Source organism: Homo sapiens, chromosome 7, assembly GCF_000001405.40.
Source record: "Homo sapiens chromosome 7, GRCh38.p14 Primary Assembly".
NCBI lineage: Eukaryota > Metazoa > Chordata > Mammalia > Primates > Hominidae > Homo > Homo sapiens.
The window spans coordinates 68,140,755-68,160,487 of NC_000007.14; the positions used below are offsets into that span (position 1 = coordinate 68,140,755).

At 41.6% G+C, this 19,733-nt stretch overlaps 1 long non-coding RNA gene across 1 annotated transcript in view; it reads right to left on the reverse strand.

Moving 5' to 3' along the window:
- Positions 1–8,793: 8,793 nt before the first annotated feature.
- Positions 8,794–19,733, reverse strand: part of LOC105375341 (uncharacterized) — a 170,147-nt gene continuing 159,207 nt past the window's right edge. The window contains exons 5-6 of the long non-coding RNA NR_187905.1: positions 14,275–14,430; positions 8,794–9,569 (exon numbers count right to left, since the gene is read on the reverse strand). This is a non-coding gene — a long non-coding RNA (uncharacterized LOC105375341). The remainder of the gene's footprint in view (positions 9,570–14,274; positions 14,431–19,733) is intronic.

Genomic DNA, 19,733 nt, shown 5'->3' on the forward strand with positions numbered 1-19,733 from the left:
GTGCCTGTGTGTGTGTGTGTGTACATCATATTGTATATCCTTTTAATCCAATTTGATACAACAATACCTCTATTTCATTGTCTCCTGGATTCAGGATTTTGGTAATACCCTAAAGGTGAAGGCATGTTATCATGAGGATATTAGAAACATTCTTTAACCAAACCTTGTATGGAGTCCAAATGGGACCTACTTCATAATAAACGTGACTTTGTCTCACATGTTCATACAGGGTTCTCTAGTGTTTTACATCAATGGATCAGTGAGTCTTACAAAACATTCCAGTGAAATACTGTACTTTTTTTGCCAGATGCATTTCATACGCAAGAAAATAAAAGTATCTCTATTTTCCACTAAGGACCTGGAATGAAAAGGGAAACTTATTCAGTCCTTCCCCAAATACCAATGGCTTGCCCTACAAATATGAACTTCCCACTACATCTCTGGGGACCTCATGTTCTTTATGAGGGGCCTGCTATAGACTGTCCTCCAGATGAAAGACTCTCTTAATTTGTATTTTGTGTCACACAAAATAAGTAGTAGACCATTGGCTAAATGTTTCCACTTGAATTCAGATGCCTTGGCAAAATGTAAATATAGAATAACACAGAGATAAGTGATATGGTTTGGCTGTGTCCCCACCCAAATCTCATCTTGAATTGTAGCTTCCATAATCTCCACGTGTGGTGGGAGGGACCCAGTGTGAGATAATTGAATCATGGGGCCAGGTTTTGCCTATGCTGTTCTCATGATAGTGAATAAGTCTCATGATATCTGAAGGTTTCATAAAGGGCAGTTCCCCTGCACACGCTCTCCTGCCTGCTGCCATGTAAGACATGGCTTTGCTCCTCTTTCGTCTTCTGCCATGCTTGTGAGGCCTCCCCAGCCATGTGGAACTGTGAGTCCATTAAACCTCTTTTTCATTATAAATTACCAGTCTCAGATATTTCCTCATAGCCATATGAAAATGGACCAATACAATAAGTAAAGGTAAAATATAAAATAGAACAAACTCTTAGTCATTCATGAGAGAATTGTCTACAACTTATGTTCAGTACCAAGCAGGTAACCTCCCTTTCTTCTGCTTCTAGATTGCTCACTTAAACCATGAGTTGTTATGAGTCTAAGCAAATGATACAATTTCAGTTACAAAAAAACCATTGTGAGAGCTTGTATCAGTTATTTATTGCTGTATAACAAATAACCCCAAGCCTAATTGCCTAAAATTTATAATTTCTCATGGTTTTGTGTTCAGCTGGATGTTTCCTTCACTCCATGCCCTACTGGCTGGGGTCATGTATTCAGCTGCATTCAGCAGGGAGTTTGACTGGGGTTAGGACATTCACGATGATGTATGTCACTCACATGCCTGGAAGCACATGTGGTGTAGCCTGAATGGCTGGTGGTTGGTGGGTCCCCTCTCTCCACCAAGGTACCTAGATTCTTAAACAGGGATTCAAGAGAATAAAAACTAAAGATACTAGAACTTTTAATGACTAGGTCTAGAATTGTTACAATGTTATTTCCATTGAGTTCTTTTTTTAAATTATTTTTTGAGATAGGGTCTGGCTCTGTCACCCAGGCTGGAGTGCAGTGGTGCAATCATGACTCACTGCAGTCTTAAATTCCCAGGATCAAGTGATTCTCCTCCCTCAGCTTCCTGAGTAGCTGGGACTCCAGGTGCATGCTACCATACCCAGCTAACGTTTTGATTTTTTGTAGAGACAGAGTTTCCCCATGTTGCCCAGGCTTGTCTCAAATGCCTGGGCTCAAGTCATCCTCCCACCTCGGCCTCCCAAAATGTTGGGATCACAGGCATGAGCCACCACACCCAGCCTGTACTGCCTTCTGTTGATCACAGAGAGTTAAAGTCGAGGCAAGATTCAAGGGAAGGAGAGGGAGAGTCTACCTCTTAATGGGAAGAGTTGCATATGCATGCAGGGATGTAAGAATCGGACATGGAGAGAGTTATTTGTGGTCATCTTTGGAGATAATCTACTAGTCTTCCCTATAGCCACAACAATTTATGTGCCCCCATAAGCAAATTTTACCCTTCCACCCCAAAGACAATCAGTTTCAACCGAACAGTGCGTCGATCTCAGGCCCAAAATCCAGGATTTAAACCAAGTTTGGATGTGGCTGGATATGGATGGAGCTACTCAGATATGGTTCCTCTTGATCTGGAAACTTGGAAACCAAAACAACAACAAATATCCAAGCTATCAGCTCCCCCTACCCGAAAAATCCACTCAACATACATGGTGAAATAACATACCCCTGTTGAAAAATTATCTGTCGTCAGTTTCCCTAACTGTGGGGGCAGGAAACATTCCTTGATTAGGGCTCATTTCTGCACTCTGGGAGTGATTCCCTAATCCATAGTTCTCTGCTGTAGGTTTTGCACTCAGAGCCCTTGGGTCTGCCCTAGAAATCATTCTTCTTCTTGCATAAGAAAGAGCCAATGCTTATGGCCAAGTAGCTTTCTCAGCCTGCTTTCTGCCAATATGTTGTCATTTTGAATCTTTCATTTCAGTTCAAGTGTAATTGCCCAAGGGGTTCTTCTTGCCTGCTGCACAGATAGAGCCAATTTACTGAAAAAGTGGTATTGCAGTAGAGAAAGAGTTTTATAAATGCAGAGCTAGCCAAGCTAAAGGATGGGAGATTATTGCTCAAATAAACCTCCCCAAGAACTCAGAGGCTAGAGTTTCTGTGGATAATTTGGCAGACAGGGGGTGAAGGAATGGGTGCTACTGATTGGGTTGGGGATGATGTCATAAGGTTGTGGAAAACAGTCCTTATGCACTGAGTCAGCTTCTGAGTGGGGCCCACAGAACCTACTGAGTCATGAGTCACAGATCTGGGTGGAGTTACTTGGTCACCAGAATGCAGAAGTTTGAAAAACATCTCAAAAGACCAATCTTGGCTTCTATGATAGTGATACTATCTACAGCAGCAATGGGAAAGTTACAAATCTTGTGACTTCTGGTACAGCAAATGATTATAGAAAGGCAAGCTTTGCCTACATTTTCAGAATTCAGACCACCTCCTACAATCCTACTTTTGTGGGTTTTTATTAGTCGTACAAAGGCAGTTTTGGTCCCAAGCAAAAAATAGGTTAGTTTTAGGGAGGGACTACTATCATCCTTGCTTCAAAGTTAAACTATCAACTAAATTCCCCCCATGGTTAGCTTGGCCTACATCCAGGAATGAGTGAGGACAGTTAGCCCGTGAGGCTAGAAGTGAGATAGAACCAGCCATGCTAGACTTCTCTCTCTGTCATAATCTTTGCAAAGGTGGTTTCACAAGCAAGGGTTGTTTTGCTGATACAATTGTTTTAAAACTTTGTGGGTTTCCTATGAATCTTAAGGAGTTCAATCCTTACCCTCAAAGCCACATTCATAATTCCCTCTAAAACATGCTTCTCTCTACTTGAGATCTGTCAGGGTGATGTGGAACACATCTTTAAGGTTCTTGGATGGTCTATCGTCTAGCTTTGAGAGTCTACTTTCAAAATCTTTCAAAGGTCTTAAAAAGAGGTCTTGCAACCCAGATTCAAGACGAACATACTGACACTTGTGCAGGATGGGTGTTGTGATGGTTAATATTGGGTATCAACTTGATTAGACTGAAGGATGCCTAGATAGGTGGTACAGCATTGTTCCTGGGCATGTCTGTGAAGATGTTGCAAAAGGAGATTGATATTTGAGTCAGTGGACTTGGAGAGGAAGACCCACCTTCAATGTGGGTGGGCACCATCCAATTGGCTGCCAGCATGGCTAGAACAAAACAGATAGAAGAAGATGGGATAATCTGGCTTGCTGAGTCTTCTGGCTTCCGTCTTTCTCTCATGCTGGAAGCTTCCTGCCCTTGGACGTCAGCCTCCAGGTTCTTCGGTACTTGGACGCTTGGACTTATACCAGTGGATTGCTGGGGGCTCTTGGGCCTTTGGCCACAGACTGAAGGCTGCACTGTTGGCTTCCCTACTTTTGAGGCTTTTGGACTTGGACTGAGCCACTACTGCCTTCCTACCTCCTCAGCTTGCAGATAGCCTATTGCAGGACTTTACCTTGTGATTAGGTGAGTGAATTCTCCTTAATAAAGTCCCTTTCATATATACATATAGCCTATTAGTTCTGTCCCTCTGGAGAACGCTGACTAATACAGGTGCTATGATGCTCATGGATGAGAGGCATTACTGGTGGCTATCTTTGGAAACAATGTACCAAAGAGTTGAAAGGGACCTTAAAGATCATATGACTGTACTCATTTTGGACCAAAATTAGCCCATTTTATTTATTTATTTATTTTTTGAGATAGACTCCTGCTCTGTTGCCCAGGCTGGAGTACAGTGGTATGACCTTGGTTCACTGCAACCTCCACTTCTTGGGTTCAAATGATTCTTGTGTCTCAGCCTCCAGAGCTGGGATTACAGGTGTGCACCAGCACACCTGGCTAATTTTTGTATTTTTAGTAGAGATGGGGTTTCACCACGTTGGCCAGGCTGGACTTGAACTGCTGGCCTGCCTCAGCCTCCCAAAGTGCTGGGATTACAGGCATGGGCCACTGCACCCGGCCCGAGCCCATTGTAGAGATTAAAAACTCAAGGCTTAAAGAGAAGAAAGGAGTTGACCACAGTAACAAAGCAAGAAAGATAAATCTTGTCTTGTATGTAGGTTCGGAGGGCTTACTACTACATTTCCCTTCATGCTCAGTTGAAAAGAAAAACTGCTTTAAAACTCATTATTAGGCATATCAAAGATAAACTATCTTTGATGTATCTTTTTAAAAAATTCATAACATTGCCATCTTCCTTTAATATGCAGAGTAGAGTTGACTGTATCAGAAAGATATAAAACCAGAGAACAGCAAGCAACACAAAGTGAGAAAGCAATGTCCGGATTCTTGTATTTTTAGTGCATCTGGAGGAAAAAGAAAATGTCATTTACTGGGAGGTTATAAGGGTGCTACTTTTCATTCATTCTTCATCCATTCATATCACACACTTTTTAAACACCTTCTATGAGTCAGACTATATTCTTCACATGAGATATTGGGCCTTTGATAGACTTTTAAAGGGTTGCAGGCAGTTGATAGTTGGAAATATAAACATATAGTGAGAACAGAGCAAGCAACTCTACCTGGAGCCGCTGAACAATATCTTGCAGAAGAAGGAGCAGAAATTCAACAGGGGTCAGTGCTTTCAGGGAGATCTGGGAGAACAGGCTGCCTGCAGTTGGACACGATTAGAATGGAGTGTGAATGGTGGGCAGTGATGGGAAGGGAGATGCTGGGGAGGTTGGAAACATCAAGCAGCACTTTGAGTTGAACGAGGAAGCTGCAGAGTCAGTAGCTTCATAAGCAGAAGTAGAAAGAAGGCAACATAGCAGTTTCTGTGCCAACCTCAAATTAGAGTTTCTTTCACCCTAGATTAGAATGTAGAGTTTCTAATTTATTGGTCAACATAATGTCTACTCAACCAAGTTTCCTTTTGTCTTTTCCTTTTTTTTTTTTTTTAGACGGAGTCTTGCTCTGTCACCCTCGCTGGAGTGCAGTCGTGCAATCTCAGCTCACTGCAACTTCTGCCTCCCAGGTTCAAGTGATTCTCCTGCCCCAACCGCTGAGTAACTGGGACTACAGGCATGCACCAGCATGCCCGGCTAATTTTTGTATTTTTAGTAGAGATGGGGTTTCACCATGTTGGCCAGGCTGTTCTCGAGCTCCTGACCTCAGATGATCCGCCCGTCTTGGCCTCCCAAAGTGCTGGGATTACAGGCGTGAGCCACTGCACCCGGCTTCTTTTGTCCTTTTTTTTGTTTGGTCATTGATGTTCCCTATGATAACACAACCTCATCATGGGAACCATGGCCAGAGATATTTGAAGGAGGCAGCTGGCAGAAAGACACACGGTCATAATATGAGCTAATCTTAGCAAAGACACATGAGTGCTAAGAAAGAGTCCATGCTGAGTGCACCTACATTTTCCATTTGGGTCACACCTTTCACCTCCCTGCTCCCCCGCTAGCCCCCACCCCCCCAAAAAAAACCATGTAGAATTTCCTTTTAAATCATTTATCCCTGCCTCAGGACCACTGCCATGAGACAGTTGGAACAGAAGTTGTAGAACATGCTTTAAGCAAAGTGAGTATACATTATTTGAAAACATCATTCATTTTTAGAACCTGCAGCATTTCACCAAAATGAACATTAGGGATCGTTTAGCTGAAAAATCTGTTGCAAGATAAAAAAACAAAAAACAAAAAGGCCTCATTGTTCTGTGCCCAGATAAACCTGGGCAGGGTGACTTTGATCAGATTTGTGTTCAACCTCCAAAGGCTGGCTGCCTGTTTAACCTCAACTGTGGCTCAAAACAAGGCTGGGGCCAGACCAGTCATATTCTCAAAGAGGCAATCAAGCCGCCTAGCAAAGACAACAGAGGCAGCAAGAGGGCATGGTGCCATGAAATAAATTAGAATGAACATCCCATTTTTATCTCCATGGCAGTCAGCCCATTCCATTCTTTGCATGCTATTTTCATATGTTAACAGCAGTTTGAGAGCTGAATGGGAAGGGAGGAAGAATAGTTTAATGAAATGAGAGGGGAAGAGAGAGAGGGGAAGAGAGAGAGGGGAGAGAGAGAGAGGGGAGAGAGAGAGAGAGAGAGAAACATTTGTTGACTATTAATCCAGACCTGGTAAAACCTGGTTGTGTCTATTGCAACCAAAAGTAACTGGAAATTGTTTCAGGGGCTTGCACTGAAATGATGGTATTTTCCTCACTCATCTCGACCCTCTCTGCCTCTCTCTTCAACCTGGCTTCCACGATTTTTGCAAGCTTTTAGTAAAGACATTGACATTCCCTTGGGTCTTCTCCAGGGATCTATCCAGTTGGGATTATGGAACCCTGATCTGGCGCTTAGAACTCTTTCTGGTGGAGGAAGGAGAGACTGTCACTTCTCATCCTTCTCTCTCCCAAGGGCTCAGCGGTCCTCCCACTCACACATCCCTCTGTTTTCCCGCACTCATGAAGCACTGCAGAGAGCATGATACCTCATGATGGGCTGGGTGCCAAGCCCTGAGATTGCATGAGAAAATGGCCAGTTTCAATGGCAGATTTTGTCCATTAAAACCTATTACTAGTTTCCTCCCAGAGCCCAGCTGGTTCCATTATAGAAAATTGGAGTGAAATGATGTCAGGTTTGTGCCATAAAAATGAATAGGAATCTTGCTTTTCATTATTTTAAATTGCAGATTGTTGCACTGATAGGTATTTATTTTTGTCATTTCTCTCTGGCCCTGGTGAGGGTCTGACCCCTGAATAATGAATAAACAGAAAGACACATGTTGGCACTTGAGCCTTGCCTGTGTCACCCTGGCTTTTCCTTCCCATTTGTGACAAATTCAAAAAATGCAACACTCTTAAATGGGTTTGTAATCTGTACTCTTTTAAACTGTCACTCAATCTCTGTCTCAGAAAATAGGCTATTGAAACTATGGAGGAAATATTTCACAGAGACTTCAACATTGCAAACTTGCTTTCAGGATTAGAGGCAGTCCTTTGGTAGCTTTAGAATTAAAATAAGAACTTGGAGTAATTGTTGCTTATTGAGATAAAGGAGGCTCATTTGGAAATGCCAAATGCACTTTAGCAACCTTAAACATGATGACTTCTTCTGTTTGGGAATAATCGAGTTTTTTAGATATTTCTTTCAGACCTAGGATTTTAACATGGTGAAACTCACAAGTGGACAAAAAGGGAGAGCAACAGTGACTATAATAGTAATGAGTGTGGGTGTGGTTTTGTCTTTCAATGTTACCAACATTTTTTTATCTTGTTGATTTAGCACTTAAGTGGCTACTTAAAGTATAAGGACTAAAAATATAATAAGTCCTGGAACTACTAGACATATGAGAAGCAGCTGAAGTACTATAGAGATAAGAGAACTTATACCCCAGGGCAGCCTTGATTTTCACGAAAATGTACAACTCACAATGGCCTCGAGCCTTAGAATCACAGAACAATACAAATGAAAAACCCTAGCAAACAAATAGTAATTGCTTGCCTTTAAAAAATTTTTAAACACCATTGTTTTAGTTTAGTTTGTTTTGTCTTGTTTGAGACAGGGTCTTACTCTGTTGCCCAGGCTGGAGTGCAGTGATGTGGTCACAGCTCACTGCAGCCTTAACCTCCCAGCCTTAAGCAATCCTCCCACCTCAGCCTCCTCAGTAACTGGGACGACAGATGCGCACCATCATACCTTGCTTATTTTTAAATTTTTAATTTTTTGCCAAGATGAGATCTTGCCATGTTGCCCAGGCTGGCCTGGAACTCTTGGCCTCAATTGGTACTCCTGCCTCAGCCTCCCAAAGTGCTGTGATTATAGGCATGAGCCAGCATGCCTAGCCTAAATACTATTGTTTTCATAGATGCATAAAATGTCCAGGCATGTATTTTTTTTTCTCAGTTTACTAATTAAAAAACGCAGCTAGTAGATCTCAGGGAAGACGGTGGCATGAGGAGCAATCCCACAAACGTCTTCCACTCAGTCCCATTCTCCTAGATGAGTCAGAGTCCACTCTTATTAGCAATGGCCACAAGAACTGCAGAACCTGGGCTGTCCCTGAAATTGTGCCATCTTTTTTTTTTTTTTTGAGAGGAGTCTCACTCTGTCACCCAGGCTGGAGTGCAGTGGCACCGTGTTGGCTCACTGCAACCTCCATCTCCTGGGCTCAAGCAATTCTCCTGCCTCAGCCTCCCTAGTAGCTGGGATTACAGGCACCCACCACCACTCCTGGCTAATTTTTATATTTTTAGTAGTAACTGGGTTTCACCATGTTGGCCAGGCTGGTTTTGGACTCCTGACCTCAGGTGATCCGCCCGCCTTGGCCTCCCAAAGTGCTGGGATTACAGGCATGAGCCACCATGCCTGGCCAAAATCATGTGACCTTTATATTCAGCCCTCTGGCCAATGGTTAAAAGCCTGGGCTTCAGAGAGATGGAGAATGAGGGTGGGGGGCAGGGCATGATCCTCCCATTGTCAAATTTGAATGTGAGAAATACAGAAATGTCAAAAATCTCTTATTCCCCTTAAATCAAAGTAAATCCTATCCTGAGATCTCTCCTGGTATGTTGAGAAATTCAAATTTGGTCATTATTGGAACTCCCTACCCCTAAATTCATGACTGTGTGAGAGAAACTTAGGGTTTCATGAAGACTCGAATATTTAAAAAAGGCTTCCAAAATGTATGTCTGTGCTGGTTATCCATGATATGAACTTTTTTTTTCTAAGTAGAAAGTCCTTTGCATAATTGCATCTTCACCATTGTGTGTCATAGTTGAAATGAGTTCCTTCTTGAGACGAGAAGTTCCCCACACCCAGGCGTCATGACCTTGGTGTGACTCAAGATCATTCATCTCTGAGATCCACCAACTTGCCAGGGAGTTGAACAGAAGTTAGCCTTGTTCTCTTTCCAGTCTTGGAGAAGCTCTTCCTTTCTCTTGTTGGCCAATTGTGTCTTCCTTTCCAACATCTTTCCTCCATTCTTTTTCTTCTGGGAAGATCTCCTGCCAATAGCCTTTGGAAACACAAAGAAAACATTGATGTCCTCACCCCATCCCTTTGTGAAAGGAGGAGCTGAAACTTGACAACTCTAAAGCATCGTCTTAAATCTGGATTTCTTTTATTTATTTATTTATTTTTGAGATGGAGTCTTGCTTTGTTGCCCAGGCTGGAGTGCAGTGGCGCGATCTTGGCTCACTGCAATCTCCACTTCCCAGATTCAAGGGATTCTCCTGCCTCAGCCTCCCAAATAGCTGGGATTACAGGTGCGTGCCACCACACCCTGCTACTTTTTGTATTTTTAGTAGAGACAGGGTTTCACCATGTTAGTCAGGTTGGTCTCGAACTCCTGACCTCAAGCAATCCACCTGCCTCGGCCTCCCAAAGTGCTGGGATTACAGGCGTGAGTTACTGTGTCTGGCCTTATATCTGGACTTAAATTTTCATGCCATCACTTACTACCTCTGGGACTTCGGAAAAGTTAAATAAGCTCTTTGTGCCTCAATTTTTTTTTTTTTTAGTGGCACAATTTCAGGCCAATATTATAAGATTACTGTGACAATTAAATGAAAGAAAAAAAGGCATGTACATTTCTTAGCTCAGTGCACACAAAACACTCATACAAGACCAACCATCAAGATGGAATTGTGGGCTGGGCACAGTAGCTCACGTCTGTAATAACAGCACTTTGGGAGGCTGAGGCACGTGGATCACCTGAAGTCAGGAGTTTGAGACCAGCCTGGCCAACATGGTGAAACCCTGTCTCTACTAAAAATACACAAATTAGCCGGGCATGATGGTGTGTGCCTGTAACCCCAGCTACTCCGGAGGCTGAGGCATGAGAATCACTTGAACCCTGGAGGCAGAGGCTGCAGTGGGCCGAGATGGCGCTGCTGCACTCCAGCCTGGGTGACAGAGCAAGATTCTGTCTCAAAAAAAGAAAAAAAAAAAAAAGGTGTAATTGTGGCTTAGCTATTCATTAGGCTTCAGATCTTGGTTGCAGTAGTTCTCCTGAATAAACTGTATTTCTAAAACTAGATGGTGATTTCTACCAGGAGGTGCCAATAACAAGATACAGGCTCTCATAAAAAAGAATGAGATCGTGTCCTTTGCAGCAACATGGATGGAGCTGGAGGTCATTATCCCGAGCAAACTAACGCAGGAACAGAAAACCAAATACCTCATGTTCTCACTTAAAAGTGGGAGTTAAACACTGGGTACACGTGGACACAAAGAAGGGAATAACAGACACTGGGGCCTCCTTGAGGGTGGAGAATGAGAGGTAGGAGAGAATTGAAAAACTACCTATTAGCAACCATGCTTATTACCTGGGTGACAAAATAATCTGAACACCAAACCTCCATGATATGCAATTTAGTTATATAACAAGCTTGCATATGGACCTCTGACCCCAAAGTTAAAAAAAACAAACAAACAGATGCAGAATCCAAAAAATAAGAAATAAGGTGCCTCTCTGTGACTTGTTCTCCAGCCAGAGCTCAAATAGGACAAGCCACAGAGGGTAGATGCATGCCCCATCATGTGGCTTTATACATGGGTGTTTCTCTTTATGTGTAACTATGCTGTGCTCATGGGCTCAGAGACCTACACCTACACCCAGGATGCTCTCCAGCCTCAGCTCAACACAGAATTCCTGCACACAACTCACAGATCATTGCTTTTCAAACAAAGCTAACACAACAACAGATGCAGATGTTTTAGAAAGAGGTCTTCAGAGAAATTATTTCTCTGGGTCATGGGTCTTGGCAGGATCGTTTCTGAAGGGTGTTTTAAGCTGAACAGTGGTCACCTACAGATATTGGTACCAGATTTTAATCATTGGAACCTCTAAATATTATGCGATTTGAACAAAGGGATTTTGCAGATGTGAATAAGTTGAGGATCTTGAAATGGGGAGATTATTCTGGACGATTCTCTGGGCCATAAATGCTCACAAGCATTCTTCTAAGAGAGGAGCAGAGAGAAATTAACACACAAAGAGAGAAGGTAATGTAAAGGCAGAGCAGAGAGAGACTTGAAGATGCTGGCCTTGGAGATGAAAGTGGTGTGACCACAAACCAATGAATACCAGCAGCCACAGGGGACAGGAAGTAGCAAGGAATGGATCCCCCTCAAGGGCTTTTGGAGGAAGAGTGGCCCTGCCAACACCTTGATTTTGGTGTAGCAATGCTGAGTTTGGATTTTCGGCCTCCAGAGAGAATAAACATCTGTTGTTTTAAGCCAACAATTTGTAATTTATTATAGCAGCCACAGGTAACTAATACAGTAGGAAGAAAAAAGAAAGCTGATGACAAGAAGACAAGAATATTTGATGACAATAGAGGGAAGAAGACAATGTATCATCCTTCCTAAAATTAATGCTTCATTCCCTTATGAAGTTAAACAGAGTTCTGAATATGGGATCTGTGGGGTTTTGAAGGTACATAGACGTGGTATATAGGGTATGAGGATATATAGCTTTTGAGGGTATATAGGCATTTATTGAAATGGCTGTGAATTAGATATAGGCATAGAGCAAATCACTCTATAAGCACAAGAGAGTCTGGCAGAGCAGTTTATAAGCCAAAATGAAAGGGCTTCCACTGCAGTAAACTATCTCAAGTGTGGCATCAATGAACAAGGCCAAGGACATGGTGATGGAGAGGAGAATGTTTTTCCCCTTCCATCCATAGCTACTGAAATAATGTTAAATTTTGTGTTTGCTAATGAAACAATATAATTCTGTGCCAGTAATACTTGCAATATCTATTCCTGGTATATGACCACCACCTGCTTTATTGTAATAGGAAAACAGATTAAACAAAGTTTAATACTCATAACATTTTTCAGTTGGGTCCTTTGAGTCAACAATGGGAAATGGCAGAGGATACATAAACAAACTGGGATAACTAGAAAAAATCTACACACACACACACACACACAGACACACACACCATAGATATAACATTTTCCTCAGAAAATAAAAACTTATTTCACAAAACAGAACAATATTTGAAAGTGGAAGTTTTCTATTCTGTTTGGAAAAAAAAGTACCACTATCGCTTAAATAAGAAGAGCTTAGGTTTTAAAAGATAAAGAAATGAAGCAGATAAAAAGAAAGTAAATAGTATGCAGAATAAGCTACAAAACATGCTCAGATTTATATCTAAGAAATATCTCCAGACTATAGAAGACAACTTTAAAAATAATTGAAAAGAATGTGCAGAAAGATAAATGGACATGTTGTAAGAACTCAATCCTTTTATTTTTACTTTGAAAAGTAAGATGGTGGATATAGAAGTTAGAATAAAAAGATCCAATCTGTTAATAAGAAAAGATTCCTTTTCCCCCTGAAATAAAATAAGTAGTTTAAAATTTTATCTTTAAAACTGATATGGAAGAAAAAAAAATCCAGAACTTATAAAAAAAATCCAAAGATGAGAAATCAGGTGGACAAAATAAGTTCAAATAAACCAGACAAATCTCTTGCAAAAATTTGAAATGTAAAGGATAGAAATACAATCCTGTAAGCTTCAAACAAGCAACCATTTACTTTCAGAGGAGTTAAAACCAGATTGGCTTCAGATTTTCTTGCTGGTACTATTAATATTTAAACATCTAGTTCTACAGCACTTGTCAAGGCCCATATAGACACTCTCAGCTCTTCAGGGTCTCAGGCTATATGCTGTTCAATGTGCCTTTTCAAAAAATATAATAATAGTAAAATGGGAAAGTGTTTTGCATGGTGCAGAGATGACAATTTTAAAGAACAGAAAATGGTCATTGAGATAAAGAGTTATTATATGGATGATTAAAGATACTGAGCAGTAATGAAATACAGATTGTTGCAGATGTAAGCTGAGTACCCCCAAATCCTCCAGCATGCTTTCCTGTAGAATCCAAATACAGTAGCCAGAGGCTCATCCCACAAACCCAAAGCATGCCCAGGGCCCACCTGTCCTTGTTTTCTTGTGGGGGGAGGGGGTCCCTGGACCACTTCACCCCCAAATGTGAATATAACTGACCGTATCCATTCCTTAAGCAACTACAAAGATGGTACTAAAATATAAATCTTACGAAACTAGGGATTTTGTCTGTTCCATACATCATGGTATCCCCAGGGTTTAGAGTGATGTTGCATGATTGAATGGATAAATGCTATTGTCAATGACATTTTTTTTTTTGAGGATTTGACAGTGGTGTTGGAGGTCAACAGCATCAAGCAAAAAATACTCAAAATTGTATTTAATGCATCACTGTTCTTAAAATTCTATGGCCATTTCTACCATTGTGTCATCTTTTTCATACAACATTCTCTGTCCTAAGGCTTCTGACCTCCTGCCCAGTAGCGAGGCTGGTCCTCTCTTTCAGACTTTCTCATCTCCTTCCTTCTCTGAGCAAAACGGGCCCAAAGGCTTTCTGTCTCAAGCCCTCAATAGGGAAAGTGGAAATCCATTCATGTTGAAGCACATCCTTATTTTTACTTGAAGCAGCCGTGTTAGCCCGGCCTTATCTACCATAACCCAAAGACCTTTTATCTATACTCTAAGGCAAAAGATGTGTTTACCATCCCAAAACAAAACGTTCCATTTGACTAAAGTTCAAAAAAATAATATATTTCCCTACATACATGGCTTTATTTTCCTTGGTCCTGTGCAATTGGTAATGACATGCTGAAAGAAAGAAACACTTGACTTCCAGGGTTCAGGCGATCCTCCTACCTCAGCCTCCCAAGTAGCTGGGACTACAGGTGCACACCACTGTGCCTGGTTAGTTTTGTTTATTTTTTGTAGAGACAAGGTCTCGCTCTGTTGCCCAGTAAAATCAGGTCTTTAATACAAATGTTCTGACTCCCATGCAGAATTCTTTCCTGTTGGCTGGGGAGAAAGAAAACATTACTCTCCATATTTCCTATATCTAGATCTATTATATCTATGTTTATCTCTGTTGCTATGTGTATGCCTGTGTCTATCTCTCTCTCTCTCTAGATCCCCTCACATTCAAGTTTTCTATTTAAGAGAGAACCACAAATTCAGAGTATTTAGCAGGATCAAGAGGTCCCATAGGGCAGACCAGAAGGAAGATACGCTCTCTGAAATCAAGTTTTTTATTATTATTATTTTATTTGTATAAATTTAGGTAGTACAAGTACAGTTTTGTCACATAAACATATGGCCTAGTGGTGAAGTCTGGGCTCTTAGTGTAACCAATATACGCAGTTTAACAATCTTGATGGACTAACTGGTTAGTTTAACTACCTGCTCTTTTTGTTAGACTGTAGAAAGGTAACGTGATATACCATAGAGATCTCTGAACCAGGAGACAGCCGAACCTGGTTCAGTTCCCCACTCACCCTTTCACCAGCTGGGTTACCATAGACATGTTAATCCACCCCCATCCCCATGCCATAATTTTAACAATTTATAAATAAGCTACATCAGTGTTTTCCAAATATTGACTCATGTAGCAGCAGGTGCATCAGGCTCCACATTCAAAGATACTGACTCAGAATCTGTTCTATTTAAGCTCCCCAGGTCATTCTGATGTAGAGGCAGGTTTGAGAATGACTCACATCGATGACCTCTGAGGTCACTTGGCTAATTCTGTATGGTGCTCACTTACATGAATACACCACAACTGATTTATCCATTCTCTTATTGAGGGATGGAGTTTATTTCCAAATGTTTGCTATTATGAGCAATGTTGATATGAGCATTCCTTCTTGTGTACGTGTAAAACTGTGCACCTGTGCAAGAACTCTGTAGGGTAAATTCCTAAGAGAAAAATCACTGGGTTATAGGATATGTGCATCTTCACATTTCCTAACTATTACCAATTTGTTTTCTAAAGTGGTTATACCAATTTACACTCCCATTAGCAGTGTACAGCAATTCTTCTTGTTCTATATATATGCTTACTCCTGATGTTGCCAGACGTTATCATTCTAGATATTTTGAGTAAATGCTTTGTATGAAATTCATCAAAAATAAACTGTTAGCCAGGTATGCTGGCTCACGCCTGTAATCTCATCACTTTAGAAGGCTGAGATGGGAAGATCCCTTGAGCCCAGGTGTTAGAGACCAGCCAGGGAAACACGAAACACAGAAAGACCCCATATCTACAAGAAAAAATAAAATGAGCTGGAAATGGTGGTGCACACCTGTTGTCCCAAATACTCGGGAGGATGAGTTGGGAGGATCACTTGAGCCCAGGAGTTTGAGGTTGCAGCAAGCTATGATTGCACCACTGCACTCCAGTCTGGGTGACTGAGTGAGACTCCATCTCTAAAATAAAATAAGGAAAGAACTTTTATTTTTTTTTTGGAGATGGAGTCTCACTCTGTCATCCAGACTGGAGTGTGGTGGTATAATCTCGGCTCACTGCCTCCTACACCTCCCAGGTTCAAGTGATTCTCCTGCCTCAGCCTCCCAAGTAGCAAGTATTACAGGCAGCCACCACCATGCTTGGCCATTTTTTGTATCTTCAGTGGAGACGGGGTTTCACCATGTTGTCCAGGCTGGTCTTGAACTCCTGACCTCCAGTGATCCGCCTGCCTCAGCTGCCCAAAGTGCTGGGATCATAGGCGTGATCCACTGTGCCTGGCCATGAACTGTTGTTAATGTCTGGTGTTGGCTGGTGTCCTTTTGCTGGTGCTGCATGTATGCGCTCAGTCTGCTTCAAGAGTAAGTTTATTAAGCAAGCCCTTGCCTTAATATTCTGTGCACTCAGCACATAAACAATCTGAACCAAACTTGAGAAGGAGAAATTCTTTTCTGGTGTCTCTTGTTTAGATTCCCGCTTGTTTGAAGACACCAAGTCTATAGTTGTCCATGATGGTGTTTATTATAGCTTACTATGAAATTAATAAGATAATAAATAAAAGTTTGTGAGGTTTAGATCAATGTTAACTGCAGTGGTAAATGTAATAGTGATTTAGAAAATGACTTTATGTTACTAGATCAATGGAAAAGAGATATCCTCTAAGTGGGTGGTTAGAATATGCAGGTCGTATGCTACCAGAATAGATGGATGGCTAAAGAATTTCTTCTTTGTATGTACATGGATGTATATATGTAAAGTCCTTTAAAGAACTTCTCCAGTGACAGATCCCTTGAAAACTGTATCCTTAGCCTTTGGAGACCTTGAGGGGATGTCTTAGGAGAATACATGTAGGAAATAGAGAATGAACAGGCAGCTGCCCTTGACCATAAAAAGTTAGACATAGAGTGCTTTTAGAGAATGAGAAGCTACCCTGCAACTAATAGGTTAAAGCTCATAAAAATATTAAAATATGGGCTGGGCGCGGTAGTTTACACCTATAATCCCAGCACTTTGGGAGGCCGAGGTGGGTGGATCACAAGGTCAGGAGTTTGAGACCAGCCTGGCCAACATGGTGAAAGCCCGTCTCTACTAAAAATACAAAAATTAGCCAGGCATGGTGGCAGGCACCCATAATCCCAGATACTCAGGCGACTGAGGCAGGAGAATCAACTGAACCCAGGAGGTGGAGGTTGCAGGTAGCCGAGATCGCACCACTGCACTTCAGCCTGGCGACAGAGTGAGACTCCATCTCAAAAAAAAAAAAAAAAAGAAAAGAAAAGAAAAGAAAAATGAAAATATGAATCCCATGAAGGTATCATAGACTTTTTTGTGTCCCTTTTTGTGTCCCAATATCATGGGATATTGAAAGAACCATTGGAGATAGCATGATTTTGAGAATGTCTTGCTACATTCCCAAATGCCACATTTGACAGGTCCCTGATTCATAGTGTGAGATGTCAGTCTGCTTTCAGATTCAGGAGCAAAGTTATTTGGTTGTCTGCCTGCCTGGGAGCTATGAGAAGATGACTTGGAAAGAGACACATTCAGAGTGTTCTGATTGTCTAGGAGCTGTTTCGTGTTTCTCTCCTTATGCCAGCATACCAATTCAGGGCTCAGAAATCGATATCCCGAAAAATCTCACTTTGTACATGCTGAACTGAAAAAGGAGGCTTAAGTTGTCTTTGACATTCTGTCCACCTTCCACACCCCACCACCATCTCTCCCAAAGCACAGGACAAAGTTATTCTCTGAAATTCCTTTATCTGCTTAAAGTTCAGCCCTACCAAAGAAGAAGACAATTACCTCCAGTATTGTCCATGCCCTGATTTTCATTAACTAAACTTATATGGCAGGAAGAATGGCTGAGGTCAACAAACCTGGACAGATTTTTGTCACAAACCATTGTCTGCTCTGCAAGCCCAGCAGACTTTGCCAGAGGCCATTGTATGTTCTTCAAGCCCATTGAAATCTCTCTAGTAATCATTTATTTCCCCTCAAAAAAACTCCTCTTTTTCCCCTCCTATAACCTGTTTTGCCAAGATCCAAGCCCCATTCTTTCTGTAACCTCAAGATGGTTTATAAGCTTCTGCACCCCACTGGGGGATTGAGTCTTCATTCTGAAGGCTCCTGTGTAAACACATGAAATAAATTTGTTTGCTTTTTCTCCAATTAATCTGCCTCTACAAGCTGATTTTTAAGTGAACCTTTTGAGGGTGAAGGAAAATTCCCTTTTGTTCCTACACCAGCCTCTAAGCAGCAGTGGTGTGGGTGGTTCAGAATTTGTACAATAAGGTAGGCATAGTAGTGGAAGGAGATCCAGACAGAGAATTCAGAATGAAATAAATGACTGAGGTAATGAAAAGAACTTGAATTTCACTGAATGTTTTTCTGAGAGAACCTCAGATTTTTATAACCAGATTGAATTGCAGACATCATTGGACTGGACTAAGATTTAAGTGGGAAAGGAGCAAAAAATGTGATGTTTATTCTAGTGGTTCAAGTTTCAGAACAGAGTGCAGCTGTGAGATTAAAACTAGCTCTGTGTTTAGTCACGGCTGAGATGAGATTCCTCACACAGGCTGACGATTATTGTAATTTTCTTATTATAAAAATAATACATATTTCCCACAGAAAATGCACTTTGTCTTTCCTCTTGAGTTTTCTATAATTTTAGTTGTTGGTTCCTGCTTATTCTGGGAGTCTTTTAGAGAAGGTATGGGCTAGGTCACCTAGAATATGATGACTTTCACTGCTATATTAAGTCTGTGTGTACAGTTAAGGTTTCCTTCATTGTTGGTGACCAAGAGAATCAAAAGGTTTTTTTTTTTTTAGGAGATCAGTGTATTTTTATGAGGAGATCCATGTAGTCCATTCTCACACTGCTATAAAGAATTGCTGAGACTGGGTAATTTATAAAGAAAAGAGGTTTAGTTGATTCACAGTTCTGCATGGCTTGGGGGGGCCTCAGGAAATTTACAATCAAGACCAAAGGGGAGGCAGGCATGTCTTACATGGCGGCAGGAGAGAGAGAGTGTGCGAAGGGGAAGCACCCTTTATTAAATCATCAGCTTCTGTGAGAGCTCCCTCACTGTCACAAGAACAGCATGGGGAAAACCACTCCCTTGATCCATCACCTCCCACAATGTACCTCTCAGGACACATTGAGATTATGGGGATTACAATTTGAGATGAGATTTGGGTGAGGACACAGAGCCAAACCATATAAATCCATTAGGGGAAAATATCTATGTGATAAGGCAGAGAAAGAACAGGCAGTTACATGCTACCATATAAATGTAGAGGCAGAATTCCTCTAGAATTTCATTTAGAATTTATCTACTCTGGCCTGGTGCAGTGGCTCATGCCTGTTATCCCAACACTTCAGGAGGCCAAGGCAGGCAGATCGCGAGGTCAGGAGTTTGAGACCAGTCTGGCCAACACAGTGAAACCCCCTCTCTACTAAAAATACAAAAAATCAGCTGGGTGTGGTGGCAGGCACCTGTAATCCCAGCTACTTGGGAGGCTGAGGCAGGGGAATCACTTGAACCCAGAAGGCGGAGGTTGCAGTGAGCCACGATCATGCCACTGCACTCCAGCCCAGGCGACAGTAAAAAAAAAAAAAAAAAAAGAATTTCTCTATTCCTATAACTTCATCCTATGCACCAGGACTACAGGCATGAGCCACCATGCCAGCCTAAGTGGTAACTTTTAGGGCATGATACAGATAATCCAATCACCTCCAGGTACAAGTCATCAGGAAATAGACCATCTGATGAATTAAACTCTTGTCTTCACAAACACCCCTTCACGTCTGTTAAATGCCTACTTGAGCTAAAGCATTGAAAGGAATAAACTACCA